General features: G+C 54.1%; 2 protein-coding genes across 5 annotated transcripts in view, besides 1 other annotated feature; one reads left to right on the forward strand and one right to left on the reverse strand.

Moving 5' to 3' along the window:
* On the forward strand, nucleotides 1–15051 carry CCDC22 (CCC complex scaffolding subunit CCDC22). Of its 3 annotated transcripts, none has more exons than NM_014008.5 (17): nucleotides 1–217; nucleotides 1617–1794; nucleotides 6547–6679; nucleotides 7417–7523; nucleotides 7649–7715; nucleotides 7815–7993; nucleotides 11262–11456; nucleotides 12027–12089; nucleotides 12180–12299; nucleotides 12722–12841; nucleotides 12938–13054; nucleotides 13164–13265; nucleotides 13348–13455; nucleotides 13698–13793; nucleotides 14040–14099; nucleotides 14182–14256; nucleotides 14679–15051. In NM_014008.5, exons 1-17 carry the CDS (start codon nucleotides 168–170, stop codon nucleotides 14790–14792), a joined length of 1884 nt encoding a protein of 627 aa, NP_054727.1. In that variant the 5' UTR covers nucleotides 1–167; the 3' UTR covers nucleotides 14793–15051. The 3 variants fall into 3 exon arrangements, 2 of the variants coding, with proteins under 2 accessions (NP_054727.1, XP_005272656.1); XM_005272599.5 differs by having other exon boundaries at nucleotides 7649–7712; XR_430506.4 differs by lacking the exons at nucleotides 13164–13265; nucleotides 13348–13455; nucleotides 13698–13793; ... (1 more) ...; nucleotides 14182–14256; nucleotides 14679–15051 and having other exon boundaries at nucleotides 12726–12841; nucleotides 12938–13043.
* Nucleotides 8730–9250: a transcriptional cis regulatory region, noted in NCBI's record as "genic|chrX:49100665-49101185 region (GRCh37/hg19 assembly coordinates) targeted for CRISPR interference". NCBI's record gives its function as "negatively regulates GATA1 gene expression in K562 cells {active_cell/tissue: K562}" and the evidence as "EXISTENCE:mutant phenotype evidence [ECO:0000015][PMID:31784727]".
* FOXP3 (forkhead box P3) overlaps nucleotides 14969–16402 on the reverse strand; it is a 14273-nt gene continuing 12839 nt past the window's right edge. For both annotated transcript variants that reach the window (NM_001114377.2, NM_014009.4), the window contains 2 exons: nucleotides 16195–16296; nucleotides 14969–16014 (listed from right to left, as the gene is read on the reverse strand). In NM_001114377.2, the coding sequence (NP_001107849.1) occupies nucleotides 15865–16014; nucleotides 16195–16296 (252 nt within the window). In that variant the 3' untranslated portion in view covers nucleotides 14969–15864. The remainder of the gene's footprint in view (nucleotides 16015–16194; nucleotides 16297–16402) is intronic.

The raw sequence follows: 16402 nt of genomic DNA on the forward strand, positions 1-16402 counted from the left end.
ACATCCGGCATGCGCCGTGCTCGCTCACAGAACTACACTTTCCAACTCTCCCCACACGACCCGTGACACTCTGTGGACCGCGAGCACGGAGCAGGGTTTCTACAGCTGCTCCCCACTTTCTCGGACCCGGTCCTGGACCCAGCCCCCGACTCCGACACGGCTCCACCATGGAGGAGGCGGACCGAATCCTCATCCATTCGCTGCGCCAGGCCGGCACGTAAGGACAGAGCCCCCGCCCACCCCCGAAGCCCACATCCGGGACTCTAAAGCCCAGGACCCCGTTTCCCGGGAACCTTAAAACCCGGGATCCTGACATTCAGGGCTCCAACTCCAGGATCCTAAGACCCTCACCCCCTTACACACACACACACACACACACACACACACACACACACGCACACACACACCGCCCTCCCTGACACCGACATCAGAGGCCTCCCAAATCCTTTAACCATGATATTTGGTACACCCAAAGCTCTGGGACCCAGACACCTTGAGACGTTACAACCTTGAAACCTCAAGACCCGGAACCCTGTAATCTGGGGAATCTTAACATCAGTTCCCTGAGACCCTGTTATCTGGAGACCCTAAGACACCTGTGCCCTAAGAACCAGGGAGCGTAAAACCCCAGGACCCTGGCACTCGGGGACTCCAAAAAATCCCTGGACCAGATACTTGGGATCCTTCAAACTCCAGTTCCCCAAACACCTGGGGCTTAAAAAAACCCAGGATTCTTTTTTTTTTTTTTCCTTTTCCGAGATGGAGTCTCGCTCTGTCGCCTAGGCTGGAGTGCAGTGGGGTGATCTCAGCTCACTGCAGCCTCCGCCTCCCAGGTTCAAGTGATTCTCCTGCCTCAGCCTCCCAAGTAGCTGGTATTACAGCCGTGCGCCACCTTGCCCGGCTAATTTTTGTATTTTTAGCAGAGACAGGGTTTCACCATGTTGGTCAGGCTGGTCTCCAACTCCTGACCTCAAGTGATCTGCCCGCCTCCGCCTCCCAAAGTGCTGGGATTACAGGTGTGAGCCACCACGCCCAGCCAAAAAAACCCAGAATTCTAAAATCTGACATCAGCATTTGGTCACCCTGACGCACGAAGACTCCTCCGTTCAGAGGCCCTAAAAACCCAGGATGCCAACATCTAGGGAGTCTGATTTTTGTATTGCTTGAAACTAGGTGGTCTTGATATTCAGGGATCTTGATACCCAGGGACCCTGACATTTGGAACTTCTGAAAACAGCAGCCTCCTAAAATCTAGTCTTCTCAAAACTCTAGCAGCTCAATATGTATGCAAAGAACATACTATCTGGGAACCAAGAAACCCAGAGATTGTGCCACCTGGACCCTTTCACCTTCCCAGACTCCCAAATTTTGATATTTTTCTAAACTGAGTTCTCTTCCACCCACCATTCTCCTACTCCAAGATCTTAGGACTTGAGGATTTCCCTAGTTCCTGGTTTTCCAAATGGAAGTCACAGTCACCAACATCCAGGATCTGTCTGAACTGTAGGCATCCTCCCTGCCCCGACCCTGGTACTAGTGTTTCCAAAAGGCTGCAGGGCTCAGCCTGATCCCTGTTGCCTGACTATTCCTGCGATCAAGCTGGTCCCCTTCTTCAGGGCAGTTCCTCCAGATGTGCAGACCTTGCGCGCCTTCACCACTGAGCTGGTTGTAGAGGCTGTGGTCCGCTGCCTGCGTGTGATCAACCCTGCGGTGGGCTCTGGCCTCAGCCCTCTGCTGCCTCTTGCCATGTCTGCCCGGTTCCGCCTGGCCATGAGCCTGGCTCAGGCCTGCATGGTGAGTGGCCCTCCTCCTAATGCACACATCCTCTTTCTTCCTCTTTTACAAAGTAACCAAGTTCCTTTGCAACACTTGCCTTTCCTCTGCAACACTTGCCTTTCCTCTGCAACACTTGCCTTTCCTCTGTCATTTTTCCTGCGGCTTAGTTTTCATTAGTGGTTAAGGCTGCTGACTGTACTGCCAAACTGCCTGAGTAGTTTAGATCCTAGCCCCACCACTTGGTAACTGTGTGACCCTAACCCTTCTGGGCCCCAGTTTTCCTATTTGTGAAATGGAGATGATAAATGTAGTGCTTTTATGAGGAGCAAATGAGTTTATCCAGTTTGCACCTGGGCTGCTCCTGGCTTCTATGTTTTAAATTTAGCTGCAAAATACCACCCCCACCCCATAGTATCCATTTCCTAGTTCCAGAAAATACTCTGTCTGGGTCATATACTCCTAAACTAATCACTCTGTGCTCTGATTGGCCCAGTCTGGATGACATGGTCATTCCTTTTTTTTTTTTTTTTTTGAGATGGAGTCTCACTTTGTCGCCCAAGCTGGAGTGCAGTGGTGCGATCTTGGCTCACTGCAACCTCTGCCTCCCGGGTTCAAGCAATTCTCCTGCCTCAGCCTCCCGAGTAGCTGGGACTACAGGCGTGTGCCACCACACCCAACTAATTTTCATGTTTTTAGTAGAGACGGGGTTTCACCATGTTGGCCAGGATGGTTTTAATCTCTTGACCTCATGATCCACCTGCCTTGGCCTCCCAAAGTGCTGGGATTACAGGAGTGAGCCACCGTGCCCAGCCTTTTCTTTTCTTTTTTTCTTTTTTTTTTTTTTTTGATGTGAAGTCTCTCTCTGTCACCCAAGCTGGAATGCAGTGGCGTGATCTCAGCTCACGGCTCACTGCAACCTCTGTCTCCTGGGTTCAAGTGATTCTCCTGCCTCAGCCTCCCGAGTAGCTGGGACTACAGGCATGCACCACCATGCTCAGTTAATTTTTGTATTTTTAGTACAGACGGGGTTTCACTATGTTGGCTAGGCTGGTCTTGAACTCCTGACCTCGTGATCTGCCCACCTCGGCCTCCCAAAGTGCTGAGATTACAGGCGTGAGCCACTGCGCCCGGCCGACACGGTCATTCCTATAGGACACTGTGATTAGCCACTCCTTCAGGATCCTGTGGAGTTGGGATAAGGATGATTACCCAAAGAAAGGCATGCTGGTTACCCAAAAGAGTGTCTGCTATATTACCTCTGTGGGAACCACATATCCTGCCTCTGCTAAGAGCAATTCCAACAATGTCTCTGTGACAGAATAAATAAAGTGCTTTTCTTTTAAAAAATATTTTAATTTTTTTAGAGGTAAGTGTCTTGCTATATTGCCCAGGCTGGTCTTGAACTCCTGGCCTCAAGAGATTCTCCTGCCTCTGCCTCACTAGTAGCTAGGACTATAGGCACATGCCACCCTGCCCGAGAATTTTTAAATTTTTCGTAGAGACGGGGTCTCGCTTTTGTAGAGATGTTGCCCAGGCTGGTCTTAAGCTCCTGGCCTCAAGCAATCTTCCTGCCTTGGCCTCCTGAGTAGTTGGGACTACAGGCGTGCACCACTGTGCCTGGTAAAGAGCCATTCTGATGAAACACTCACCCATTCCCAGTATAGAGCTGAGTCCAGGAGTCCAGTTCCTGTATTCAAGAGCTGCAAGTAATGCCACTCCCCCTGGCTCACTCACTCTGTGACTTTGGGCCAGTCTTTTTTTTTTTTGAAGCCCAGGCTGGAGTGCAGTGGCACAATCTCGGCTTACTGCAACCTCCTCCGCCTCCTGGGTTCCAGCAATTCTCCTGCCTCAGCCTGCCGAGTGGCTGGGATTACAGGTGTCTGCCACTGTGCCCGGCTAATTTTTTTGTATTTTTAGTGGAGACAGGGTTTCACCATCTTGGCCAGGCTGGTCTCGAACTCCTGACCTTGTGATCCACCCACCTCAGCCTCCCAAAGTGTTGGGATTACAGGTGTGAGCCACCGCGTCTGGCTCTCTTAACCTTTTTGAGGCTAAGTTTCCACATGTGTAAAATGGGTATAAGAATTGTAGCTACTGTATAGGGTTGCTGTGAGGATTAAACATGAGTTAATGTGTGAAAAGCTGGTTATAATAAGCTTTGCATAAATGGGATTACTATTATTGGATAGGTCCGATCTGGAACCTGTGAATACATAGTGAATGGAAACACTTTGAACTGACCCAGGAAGTATATGGTGGTGGAGGGACGATAGAGTAACTACCGTGAAAACTTTCATTTAGATATAGGGGACTGGGTGGCTAGAGTTGTTAAATTTGGGCCTTGCTTATGCAGTCTCTGTCTCTTAGCAACAGGTCTCAGAGCTCCATCCATCCCTTCGCTCTCAGGTTCACCCAGCTCTCAGGAGTTGTCACATTGTTCTCTCTGGGGCTCTTGGTGGCCTTATGAGGCAGGCAGTCTGTCCCCTGGCCCAGGACTGTATGTATTCTTAAGGTTAGCACTTAATAGGGGGGAAGTTATGTCTTCTGTTTGCAGAGGAGAGTACACAGCAGGAGGTGTTGAGGTGGGGGCTCAGGCTTCCTGCAGTTCTCTGTTCTTCCCTCAGTGCTGTCTCTCTTGGATTTTGTTCACCTGCTTTTGCTTACATTGATTTTAGTGGGGGTTAGTGACTATGGCTTTTCCAGTGGCCAGGAGGTACATGTGGGCTGGGCACGTTGGCTCTTGCATGTAATCCCAGCACTTTGGGAGTCTGAGGTGGGAGGATCAGTTGAGCCCAGGAGCTCGAGATCAGCCTGGGCAACATAGTGAGACCCCCATCTCTACAAAAAATAAAAAAAAAATAGCTGGGCATGGTGGCACACGCCTGTGGTCCCAGCTATGTGGGAGGCTGAGGTAGGAGGATTGCTTGAGCCTGGGAGGTCCAGGCTGCAGTGGGCTGTGATTGCGCCACTGCACTCTAGCTTGGGAAACAGAGTGAAACCCCATCTCCAAAAAAAAAAAAAAAAAAAAGACTGGGGACGGTGGCTCCTGTAATTCCAGCACTTTGGGAGGTGGAGGCGGGCAGATCTCACCAGAGGTCAGGAGTTTGAGACCAGCCTGGCCAACCTGGCGAAACCCTGTCTCTACTAAAAATACAAAAATTAGCCTGGTGTGGTGGTGTGTGCCTGTAATCCCAGCTACTCAGGAGGCTGAGGCAGGAGAATCGCTTGAACCCAGGAGGCGGAGGTTCCAGTGAGTCGAGATTGCACCACTGCACTCCAGCCTGAGCGACAGAGCAAGACTCTTGTTTCCAAAAAAATAAAAAACAGGTACATATGGTTGTCTGGCCCCCAGCAGCCTTGGTTTATCAGCAGCAGGCAAAAGGAGTTCTCTTAATCCAGCTGTGTGCTGTCCCTGTAGCCCCCCCGCAACTCAGCACTGCCATGTTCTGGCATCTTTTCTTCATATGCCCTGCTCCTGGCAACAGTTTCTGCACCTTAGCCACCTCCATATTTTGGCACCTTCCCCACTCCTGGAATGAGTTTCTATATCAGTCACAGCTCTTTGATTGCATATTGTGGAAAAAATCCAAAGTAAAATACCTTAAAAGCCAGTGGTTATACTTATTTGACCTTGAGCCTCCAAAATAAATATATCTTGCATTGTGACCCAGTATACTCCTAAGTATAGAATAATGATGGCTTCTAAGTGTACTCTGTGCCAGGCCCTGTGGTAAGTAACATGGTGTTAACTCATTTAATTCTCAGGACAACCTTCTGCTATATGTACTGTTGGTATACCCTCTTTCAGATGAAGAAAGTGAAGCACAGAGGGATTAAGTGATCTGCCTGAGGTCGTATAGTTGGTAAGAGGCAAAGCTTGGGTTTGAATCCAGGAAGTCTGCTTTCAGAGTCTATGCAGTTCCAAAGCAGTGGCAACTCTGGAAGAAAAAGGCTTTCCTAGGCCGGGTGTGGTGATTCCCACCTGTAATCCCAGCACTTTGGGTGGCTGAGGTGGGCAGATTGCTTGAGCCCAGGAGTTTGAGACCAGCCTGGCCAACATGGTGTAGCCCTGTCTACACTGAAAATACAAAAATTAGCCGGGTGTGGTGGCATGCACCTGTAATCCCAGCTACTCGGGAGGCTGCGTGGGAGGATCACTTGAGCCCAGGAGGCAGAGGTTCCAGTGAGCCAAGATCACGCTACTGCACTCCAGCCTGAGCGACAGAGCGAGACCCTGTCTCAAAAAAAAAAAAAAAAAAAAAGGAAAAAGGCTTTCTTTCTCTCCTGGCCTGTTTCCTCAGTCCCCATCAGAACCCTCATGAGTCCTTTTGTTCTGAGCTATTGTGCTTCTGGTCTTTTTGTCCTGTTTATTTTTAGGCACTCTTTCTATAATAGGTAGATTTGCTCTTTACCTATGATATGGGCTCCAAATATTTTTTCCCAACTTGTCATTAACTTTTGACTTTGCTTATTCTATTTTCTTTAAATATTTTCTTTCTTTTCATGTATTCAAAAGTACCCATCTTTTCTTTTATGGCCTCTGGATTTTGAGTCATAGAAAGGCCAGAGCTTTAATCTTGTTTCTTGTTCTCTGTAGCGTTGACTATCATCACTCTGTGACTCCCCCCAGGGCCCAGAGGCCTTGGGGAGCTGGGGGAGGTTGGGAGGGTGGTGGTTAGTGAGAAAGTGGGAGCGTTTTCAGCCTAGGCCCAAGTCTCCCAGGGCAGGAGGACCCTGCCTGCTTCCTGATAGCCGCCCACCAACCCTCAGGACCTGGGCTATCCCTTGGAGCTTGGCTATCAGAACTTCCTCTACCCCAGTGAGCCTGACCTCCGAGACCTGCTTCTCTTCTTGGCTGAGCGTCTGCCCACCGATGCCTCTGAGGATGCAGACCAGCCTGCAGGTACTGGGTGTCTGGGGTGTGGGCGGGGGCGGTGAGGGGAGAGGAGGGCCTTCTAGGGGCTGTAGGGCTGAGAGAGGTAGAGGTGGTAAAAAGGTTGATGGGTAGGGGTGGCGGTATGTGCCTTCAGGAGAGCTAGGCAGGAGGATTAGGCATCAGAGAGGGGCTACAGGGCAGGGGGCAGGGGGCTGAGGTTGAGCTGACCCCGGTGGTGCGTTGGTGCGGGGAGGGGCCTCCCTGACTCAACCCCTGTGCCCTCCCTCTCTCTCACTTCGCTCTAACCACTTGGGCCTCCTGGGTGCTACTCAAACATACCCCAGTACACTCCCGCCTCTGCACCTTTGTATCGTTGGTTACCTTTCCCCTAGGTACCCTCATGGTTCACTCCCTTACCTCTTTGAGGTTAACCTCCTCTCCGCAGCCCTCTCCTGATCCCCACCTGGCTGCAGTCTGGATGGTATTCAGGATCCTATTCATGATCTCTCTCCTCTGCTAGCTTGCCGGCTCCCTGAGGGCAGGGACCTTTATCCAGTTTGTTCCACGAAGTAGCCCTAGTGTCTAGAACAGCGACCTGTACATAGTAGGTGCTCGGTGTTTGTTGAATGACTGAACGTGAGAACGCAAGCTGGATAGATGTGTATCTCTGGATGGGGGTCAGGAGTGGAGGCTGGTCTCCTAGGGTATGCCCTTTTGGATTTGCAGCATTGACATCTGATTCACTTCCTCCCTATCCCCCATAGGTGACTCAGCTATTCTCCTCCGGGCCATTGGGAGCCAAATTCGGGACCAGCTGGCACTGCCTTGGGTCCCGCCCCACCTTCGCACTCCCAAGCTGCAGCACCTCCAGGTGAGACCCCTGACTCCCATGGATCTTCTCTTGTCCCCGTCTGGGTGCCCAGGGTTTTGGCCCCCTACCCCTGGCAACCCTCATCCCACTTCACCCTGGAGATTCTGAGCCTGCTCTCCCACCAGGGCTCGGCCCTCCAGAAGCCTTTCCATGCCAGCAGGCTGGTCGTGCCAGAATTGAGTTCCAGAGGTGGTGAGCATGAGGCTGTGGGGAGGGGTGAGGAGGAAGGTGGGGGGGAACCTCATAGCGTTGCCATGCGGCAGGGCCAGCTGACTCTGTTCCTGCCTCCAGAGCCACGGGAGTTCCAGGCGAGTCCCCTGCTGCTTCCAGTCCCTACCCAGGTGCCTCAGCCTGTTGGAAGGGTGGCCTCGCTCCTCGAACACCATGCCCTGCAGCTCTGCCAGCAGACGGGCCGGGACCGGCCAGGGGATGAGGACTGGGTCCACCGGACATCCCGCCTCCCACCCCAGGTACAGCCAGATGCCTGGCTCCCTGCTGTCTGGGCTGCTGCTCACTGACACTCCCGCTGGTCCTCTGCTCTCCTTCCCCACTTTGTCCCTCCCTTCCATTGTTTCCCCTCTGTGTGTGCTTACCTAGCTCCCCACCTGAAAGAACACTGGAGTCAGAAAAAAGGAGAACCTGGGACAAGTCAGTATCCCTCCTCAGAGCCTTGGTTTCCTGTGCTAAAATTTGGGGTAGTAATAGTGCTCTCCTCTCAGGGCAGTAGTTAGACTGAATAATGTGCTTGAGATTCCTGGCAACTGGAGCAATCCAGATTGGCTACCTGCCTTCATCATTCATTAATTCATTCATTCATTTGGAGTCTTGCTCTGTCACCCAGGCTGGAGTGCAGTGGCGTGATCTCAGCACACTGCAACCTCCATCTCCCGGGTTCAAGCGATTCTCCTGCCTCAGCCTCCCAAGTAGCTGGGATTACAGGCTTGCACCACCACACCTGGCTAATTTTTATATTTTTAGTAGAGACAGGGTTTTGCCATGTTGGCTAGGCTGGTCTCGAATTCCTGACCTCAGGTGATCTGCCCACCTTGGCCTCCCAAAGTGTTGGGATTACAGGCATGAGCCACCGCACCCGGCCCTAATCTTTCTCTGTTTCTGCACTTGTCACTGATGTTCATTTTTCTGGTTTCTAGGTTTTTGCACAATTTCTGCCTGTCCCCATTATTCTAGTTCTGTGTTTTTGCTGCTCCTCTTTCTTACCTCTCTGTCTCCTCATTTCTGTACTGAATTCCTCTCTTGCTCTGTCTATCTATCTGTTCCCCCTTCTCCTCTGTCTACTTCTTTATCTGTCCCCTCTTCTTCTCTGTGCACCTTTTTATCTGTGTCCCCTTCTGCTCTGTCCACCTCTGTATCTCTCCCCTTCCTTGCTGTCCACCTATATATCTGTCACCCCTCTGCCTCTGTTTACTTCTTAATCTCTCTCCTCTTCCTCTCTGTCCACCTCTGTATCTGTTGCCCCTTCCCTCTGTCCCCTTATCTCTCCCTTCTTCCTCTCTGTCCACCTCTGTATTTGTCCCTCCTCCCCTTCTGTCCATCTCTTTATCTGTCCTCTCTTCTTCTTTTTTTTTGAGACGGTGTCTCGCTCTGTCACCCAGGCTGGACTACAATGGCATGATCAGGGCTCAAGGCAGCCTCAAATTCCCGGGCTCAAGCAATCTTCCCACCTCAGGCATCTGAGTAGCTGGGTCTACAGGTGCGTGCGCCCGGCTAATTTTTGTATTTTTTGTAGAGATGGGGTTTTGCCATGTTGACCAGGCTGGTCTCGAACTCCTGACCTGAAGCAATCCACCCACCTTGGCCTTCCAAAGTGCTGGGATTACAGGCATGAGCCACCATGCCGAGCCCCCTCTTCTTCTCTGTCAACCTCTTTGTCCCCTCTTCTTCTCTATCCATCTCTGTATCTGTCCCCTCTTCCCCTCTGTCCACTTATCTGTCCCCTCTTCCTCTGTCCACCTCTGCATCTGTCCCCTCCTTCTCTCTGTCCACCTCTCTGTCACCCCTCTCCCTCTGTCCATTTCTTTATCTGTCCCCTTTTCCTCTCTGTCCACTTCTCTTTTTCCCTCCCTCCATTCTGCTCTCCTATTTCTGTTCCCTCTTCCTCTGTGTTCACCCAGGTATCAGTACCCCTCCCCTTCTGTCCACCTTTATATCTGTCCCCTCTTCCTCTCTGTCCACCTCTGTATTTGGCCCCCCTCCCCTTCTGTCTGCCTCTTTATCTGTCTCCTCTTCCTCTGTGTCCACATCTCTGTCTGCCCCTCTTTTTCTCCACCTCTGTGTCGGCCCCCTCCTGGTCTGTCCACTTTTTTATCTGTCCTCTCTTTCTGTCTTCACCTCTGTGTCTTTTTACATTTTTATTTTTTTATCATTATTATTATTTTTTGAGATGGAGTCTCGCTCTGTCACCCAGGCTGGAGTACAGTGGTACGATCTCAGCTCACTGCAACCTCTGCCTCCTGGGTTCAAGTGATTCTCCTGCCTCAGCCTCCCACATAGCTAGGACTACAGGCATGCACCACCACGCCCAGCTAATTTTTGTATTTTTAGTAGAGACAGGGTTTCACCATGTTGGCCAGGATGGTCTCGATCTCTTGACCTCATGATCCATCTGCCTCGGCCTCCCAAAGTGTTGTGATTACAGGCGTGAGCCACCACGCCTGGCTGTCTGTCTTTGTTTTTATATCTGTAGTAATTTTCAAACATAAATGTAGAGAGAATATTCTAGTGAATCCTATGTACCATTTTGCCAACTTTTCTTCATCTTTTCTCTCCCAACTTTTTCTTTGTTGCTGTATTATTTTAAAGCAAATCTCAGACATCATGTCATTTCAGCTCTAAATACTTAGGACTACATCTCTTAACTCATAAGGACATTCAGTTTTCAAGGTAACCACTGGACCATTTTCATGGCTAATGAAGTTAACAATAATATCTTGTGGGTTTTTTTTTGTTTTGTTTTGTTTTGTTTTTTTTTTGTTTTTTTTTGTTTTGTTTTTGAGACGGAGTCTCTCTCTGTTGCCCAGGCTGGAGTGCAATGGCGTGATGTCGCTTCACTGCAACCTCCACTTCCTGGGTTCAAGCCATTCTCCTGCCTCAGCCCCCAAGTAGCTGGAATTACAGGAGCACACTAAGTTTTGTATTTTTAGTAGAGTCGGGGTTTTACCATGTTGGCCAGGCTGGTCTTGATCTCCTGACCTCAGGTGATCTACCTACCTTGGCCTTTCAAAGGGCTAGGATTATAGGCATGAGCCACTGTACCCGGCCAACAATGATATCTTAATACCATCCAATACTTGAGTTCATAATCAGATTTTCCCATTATCTTGAAACTCTGTTGTCCCTCTCTTGCCTCTCTCTCTCTGCCTCTTTCTGTGCTTGGTACCTTTGATTCCCTGTCTCTGCCCTGTCCCCCGATATCCTGTCTATGCTTCTCTTGGATTTGGGGGCTCTAGGCCCACCCCCCTCTCTTCCCACATCCTTCTCCAGCATGGGGATCTAGTGGGTGGAGAGAAGTATGTCTGTGAGCAAGAGGAGACCCCTGTCCTCGAGGAGATCCCAGGCTGGTGGAGCAGGAGAGTAGAGCAGGGCCTGCCTTAGTGGGAAGGCTGGAGGGTGGGGGTGACTTGTCAGTATACTCTTGTCAGGGGGTCCTTGGAGGAGGCAGGGCCTTGGGTGCTAGGTGGGCCCCTACACCTTCCTGCTTCCCCCGCCTTTTCTCCCCAGGAGGACACACGGGCTCAGCGGCAGCGGCTGCAAAAGCAACTGACTGAGCATCTGCGCCAAAGCTGGGGCCTGCTTGGGGCCCCCATACAAGCCCGGGACCTGGGAGAACTGCTGCAGGCCTGGGGTGCTGGGGCCAAGACTGGTGCTCCTAAGGGCTCCCGCTTCACGCACTCAGAGAAGTTCACCTTCCATCTGGTGGGTGCGCCTGAGGACATGAGATGTGTGGATGGGCGTGGCAGGCTTGGAGGGTGGCTTTTTGTGTCAGCACCACACCTTTATCCACACAGGTTCCTGTGTTCCCACTGGACAGGCCCTCGCCCCACTGTGGGATGGGTACCCAGAGGGGTCCCCTAGCTTATTAGGGACTTGACTGGAGAAAATGTGGATAGGTGGGAACCATGCAAAGGTGTGGGGGTGTTCTTGGGGCAACACCCCCTTTCCTCAGGCAGTTTCCTTTGAGCATATCTTCTGTCCTAAGATGTTCACTCTGAGGGCCCCCCATCCTTCTCATGGGCATTTGAGGCTTGAGAGATGGGGCAGGTGGGTAGGAGCTGTGACAGGGTCAGGGAGATTTCTCCACGAGCAAGCACTCTGGCCCGAGGTTGCAGATGGTGCCTTTACCCACATAGTCACAGTCTGGCCACCATCGGTGCTTCAGTGGGCATGCATGCCGCACTGGGGGCAGTTCTCAGGGGAGGCTGAGGCTGGGCCACGTGAGGAAGGGCCTTCCCTGGCAGCCAGGATGCCCCTCGTCACTCCCCTTAGGAGCCCCAGGCCCAGGCCACTCAGGTGTCAGATGTGCCAGCCACCTCCCGGCGGCCTGAACAGGTGAGCAGAGTGGTTTGGAGGGGGGTGTCCCAGGCCCTTGCTTGTCTACTGGGCCTGACACCCCAACCCTGACTGGCCTGGGCCTCCCAGGTCACGTGGGCAGCTCAGGAACAGGAGCTCGAGTCCCTTCGGGAGCAGCTGGAAGGAGTGAACCGCAGCATTGAGGAGGTTGAGGCCGACATGAAGACCCTGGGCGTCAGCTTTGTGCAGGTAAGGGGCGGAGGAGGGGCTGCGCGTTGGGCTAGGTCAGAAGGAGGGCCTCGGGGTGTGAGGGACTAGATGGGGCAAGAGGTGCTCTGTAGAGGTCTGCACATGGCAGAAGGGTTCCTGGGAGCCATTAGGGATCTGTGGGCCTCTTGAGGGTGGCTATGAGAATCAGGCCAGGGTGAGGGTCTGTGGGCATCTATGGGGCACCGCGGGTCTGCATGGGCAGGGGATTGAGGGGTCCTCGGAGGGTCTGTGGGCATCTGTGGGGTACCCACGGGTCTGCATGGACAGGGGATTAGGGGGTCCTCGGGGTCCTTGGCACCAGCGTGGAGCTGTTAGAGAGGCCTGTGGGGGCCACAGGGGTGTACAGTCATCTGTGGAGCTCCATGGGGGCTGTGGCATGTGACTGGGTATCCACCGGCCAGGCAGAGTCTGAGTGCCGGCACAGCAAGCTCAGTACAGCAGAGCGTGAGCAGGCCCTGCGCCTGAAGAGCCGCGCGGTGGAGCTGCTGCCCGATGGGACTGCCAACCTTGCCAAGCTGCAGGTGGGGTTGGGGCTGTAGCTGGGCGGAGAGGGGCAGGGTGGGGTGGGGTGGGGTTGGAGGGCCCAGCCTGTGTGACATGTACCCATCCCCCACCAGCTTGTGGTGGAGAATAGTGCCCAGCGGGTCATCCACTTGGCGGGTCAGTGGGAGAAGCACCGGGTCCCACTCCTCGCTGAGTACCGCCACCTCCGAAAGCTGCAGGATTGCAGAGAGGTAAGCAGTGGGGCCCTGGGCTGTGGGCGGGCCAGGGCAGGCTCGGTCCCTCTCTAGGGGGCCATCCCTATGCTCTGCTCACTGTCTTCTGCCTGTGGGCTCATGGCAGCTGGAATCTTCTCGACGGCTGGCAGAGATCCAAGAACTGCACCAGAGTGTCCGGGCGGCTGCTGAAGAGGCCCGCAGGAAGGAGGAGGTCTATAAGCAGCTGGTAAGGCCTGTGTGAGGGACCTGGGTAGCTTAGGAGGGTGGGGGGATGGTCCTGGGGCAGTGCCTGCTATATCCCTGCCTAGATGTCAGAGCTGGAGACTCTGCCCAGAGATGTGTCCCGGCTGGCCTACACCCAGCGCATCCTGGAGATCGTGGGCAACATCCGGAAGCAGAAGGAAGAGATCACCAAGGTACACTGCCAGGGCCATGGAGGGTGGGTCATGTGGGCTGTCAGGCATAGTGTGGCCGCACAGGGACCTCACACCCTCAGGCAGAGCTGTCCAGTCACACTCTAACACAGAATAGTCACACACAATCCATCCCAGTCACCCCTGACACAGTGACACAGTCCCTGTCTGGTACACATGAGGACCCTCCACTGCTAGCCAGCCTGCCCCAGGCAGGGGCTCATGGCTGCCATGGTGTCTGCCAGATCTTGTCTGATACGAAGGAGCTTCAGAAGGAAATCAACTCCCTATCTGGGAAGCTGGACCGGACGTTTGCGGTGACTGATGAGCTTGTGTTCAAGGTGTGGGGCAGGTTGGGCGGGGGTGAGTGGGGTGAGGCTGGGCTGCTGCCTTGTGCATCTGCTAATTGGCTGGCTGGGGTCCAGACCCAGGCCCTGTGCGAGGCTGGAGGTGCACTGATACCCAGGGCTGGCTTTGTTTCATGGAGGATGAAGCTAGTGGGGTGGTGGGAGAGGGTGGCCTTCTTAGGGCATGGAGATGGTCAAGGGCAGCCCACTGATACCTTTGAGGTCCCTGTGTCTGGTCAGGATGCCAAGAAGGACGATGCTGTTCGGAAGGCCTATAAGTATCTAGCTGCTCTGCACGAGGTGAGGGGAGACATGTGCCTGGGGTGGGGCTGCTGGGGGTGGGTGGGACTGGGTGCAAGCCTTCTGCTCCTGTTGTCCCCAGAACTGCAGCCAGCTCATCCAGACCATCGAGGACACAGGCACCATCATGCGGGAGGTTCGAGACCTCGAGGAGCAGGTGAGGCCTGGGGGCAGGATGGGGAGCCAAGGCGGGCCGGGGGGACAGTTCCTCAGGTTATGCTGACAGAGGCTGTGGAGCCACACACAGCCGATGGCTGGACACCCAGCCCTGCCCCTTAGTGCCTGTGACCTGGGACAGGCAAGTGGCCTACTGTGAGCCCCAGCTTCCACCCCAAGGGCCCTCCTGTCTGCCTCCCAGGGCCATGGGCAGAGGCTTCAGCTTAAAGATGTAGGGGGAATCCTGCCACATGGCGAAGGATGCTTTGGGTAGAGGGAACACCACACGAGGCCTGGCCATGGGACAGAGCAGGCTGTTGGAGTTGGTGGGAGGGGCCCAGAGTGGCTGTGATGGGGGCTGGTGAGCAGGAGCTGGGAAAGGGGCTGTGTGTGCTGAGGGGGCATGTGTTCACATTGCCTCAGATCGAGACAGAGCTGGGCAAGAAGACCCTCAGCAACCTGGAGAAGATCCGGGAGGACTACCGAGCCCTCCGCCAGGAGAACGCTGGCCTCCTAGGCCGGGTCCGGGAGGCCTGAGGAGCCGCCGGCAGAGGTCTCTCCCCAGCCTCAGGCAGGGATTTGGGGTGCTGGAGGCAGTGGCCAAGCACATGCCCTAGCTACTTCCTCCGCTGTCCAGTTCCTCCTGCTGCGGCCTTGGACCCAGACCCCTGCCCACTGACCGCAACCCTTATATGGGGTGATAGTCCAGCATGTGGGGAGCTCGGCTGCAGTTTATTGGGGACGGTACTGTGGGTTGGGGGCCTTGGATCCCAAATAAATGAGTAGTTCCTCTGCAGTCTAAGCTGAGGCATGGATCAGGGCTCAGGGAATGGGAGTGAGGTGAGTGGCAGGGGAGACACGGGGTATTTTTGGCAAGGCAGTGTGTGTGGCTGTGTGTGTCTGCACGGGACTCAAGAGACCCACTGGGGGGCTGTGCGTGTGCATATGCGTGAGATACACAGGTGAATTCTAACAGGCCGTGTGTGTGAGCGAGCACGTGTTGGGACCTCAGATCCTGAGGGTACTGACGCTGCTTCTGTGTAGGCCTCTGGGCACACCCCTGTGTTGACAGTGCCCCTGTGGGCCCTGAGGCTGGCTGTGGGTGCGTGCCTTGGGGTGTGTGGGTTGTCAGGGCTGTGCTTGTGTGTGATTGTGTGATGATGCAGCTTTGAGGTTGTTTGAGTGTACTGAGGCAGGCTCTCTGTGTTTTGGGGTTTGTGTTGAGTGAGGGACAGGATTGTGACATTTTGTGTGTCTGTGTGACTTTTCCAGCCCTGAAGTAATCTGTGCGAGCAGCTGAGGCAGGCTCTGTGTGGCTGGTTGTGAAGGCTCTGTTTGGCTGCAGGGCTCGACTGGGGGGTGTGTCTGGGGCGGAGGTGGGGGCTGGGGCCAGGACCGGGGCCCCTCTGAGCAGCCTTGGGGCAAAGGATATGATGGGGGAGGGGGTGGCTGCCAGCGGGGGAACAGGGGCCCTGGCAGGCAAGACAGTGGAAACCTCACTTCTTGGTCCCTGTGGGCACATCCAGGGCCTATCATCCCTGCCCCCACCACCTCTGCCTCCCACCAGTTTGGCCCCTGTTCGTCCATCCTCCTTTCCTTGATCTTGAGGTCAGGGGCCAGGTGTAGGGTTGGAACACCTGCTGGGCCTCTGGCTCCGTTTCTTGCGGAACTCCAGCTCATCCACGGTCCACACAGCCCCCTTCTCGCTCTCCACCCGCACAAAGCACTTGTGCAGACTCAGGTTGTGGCGGATGGCGTTCTGTGGAAGGCCGGGGACAGGGAGCAGGTGGGCGTCAACCTCTGAGGCCAGCAGCCACCACCAACAACCCACATCCCGTTCCTCCCCAATGTGCCTATGAGCCCAGACCCAGGCCTGCCCACTTTGAGCTGCGATGGCACTTGAGGCCATCCCAGTCACCGCCACCTCAGAGGAGCTCACCTTCCAGGTGGCAGGATGGTTTCTGAAGAAGGCAAACATGCGTGTGAACCAGTGGTAGATCTCATTGAGTGTCCGCTGCTTCTCTGGAGCCTCCAGGATGGCCTGGAAGTTGGGGGGTGGGGTAAGGGGCACATTCCCCAAACTTGGGGTTTAGAGGGGCTATGACCTACCCCGAGCCATCTGACATGGGGGCGGAATTGTAGGGGCA

This window comes from Homo sapiens, chromosome X (assembly GCF_000001405.40).
Source record: "Homo sapiens chromosome X, GRCh38.p14 Primary Assembly".
Taxonomy (NCBI): Eukaryota; Metazoa; Chordata; class Mammalia; order Primates; family Hominidae; genus Homo; species Homo sapiens.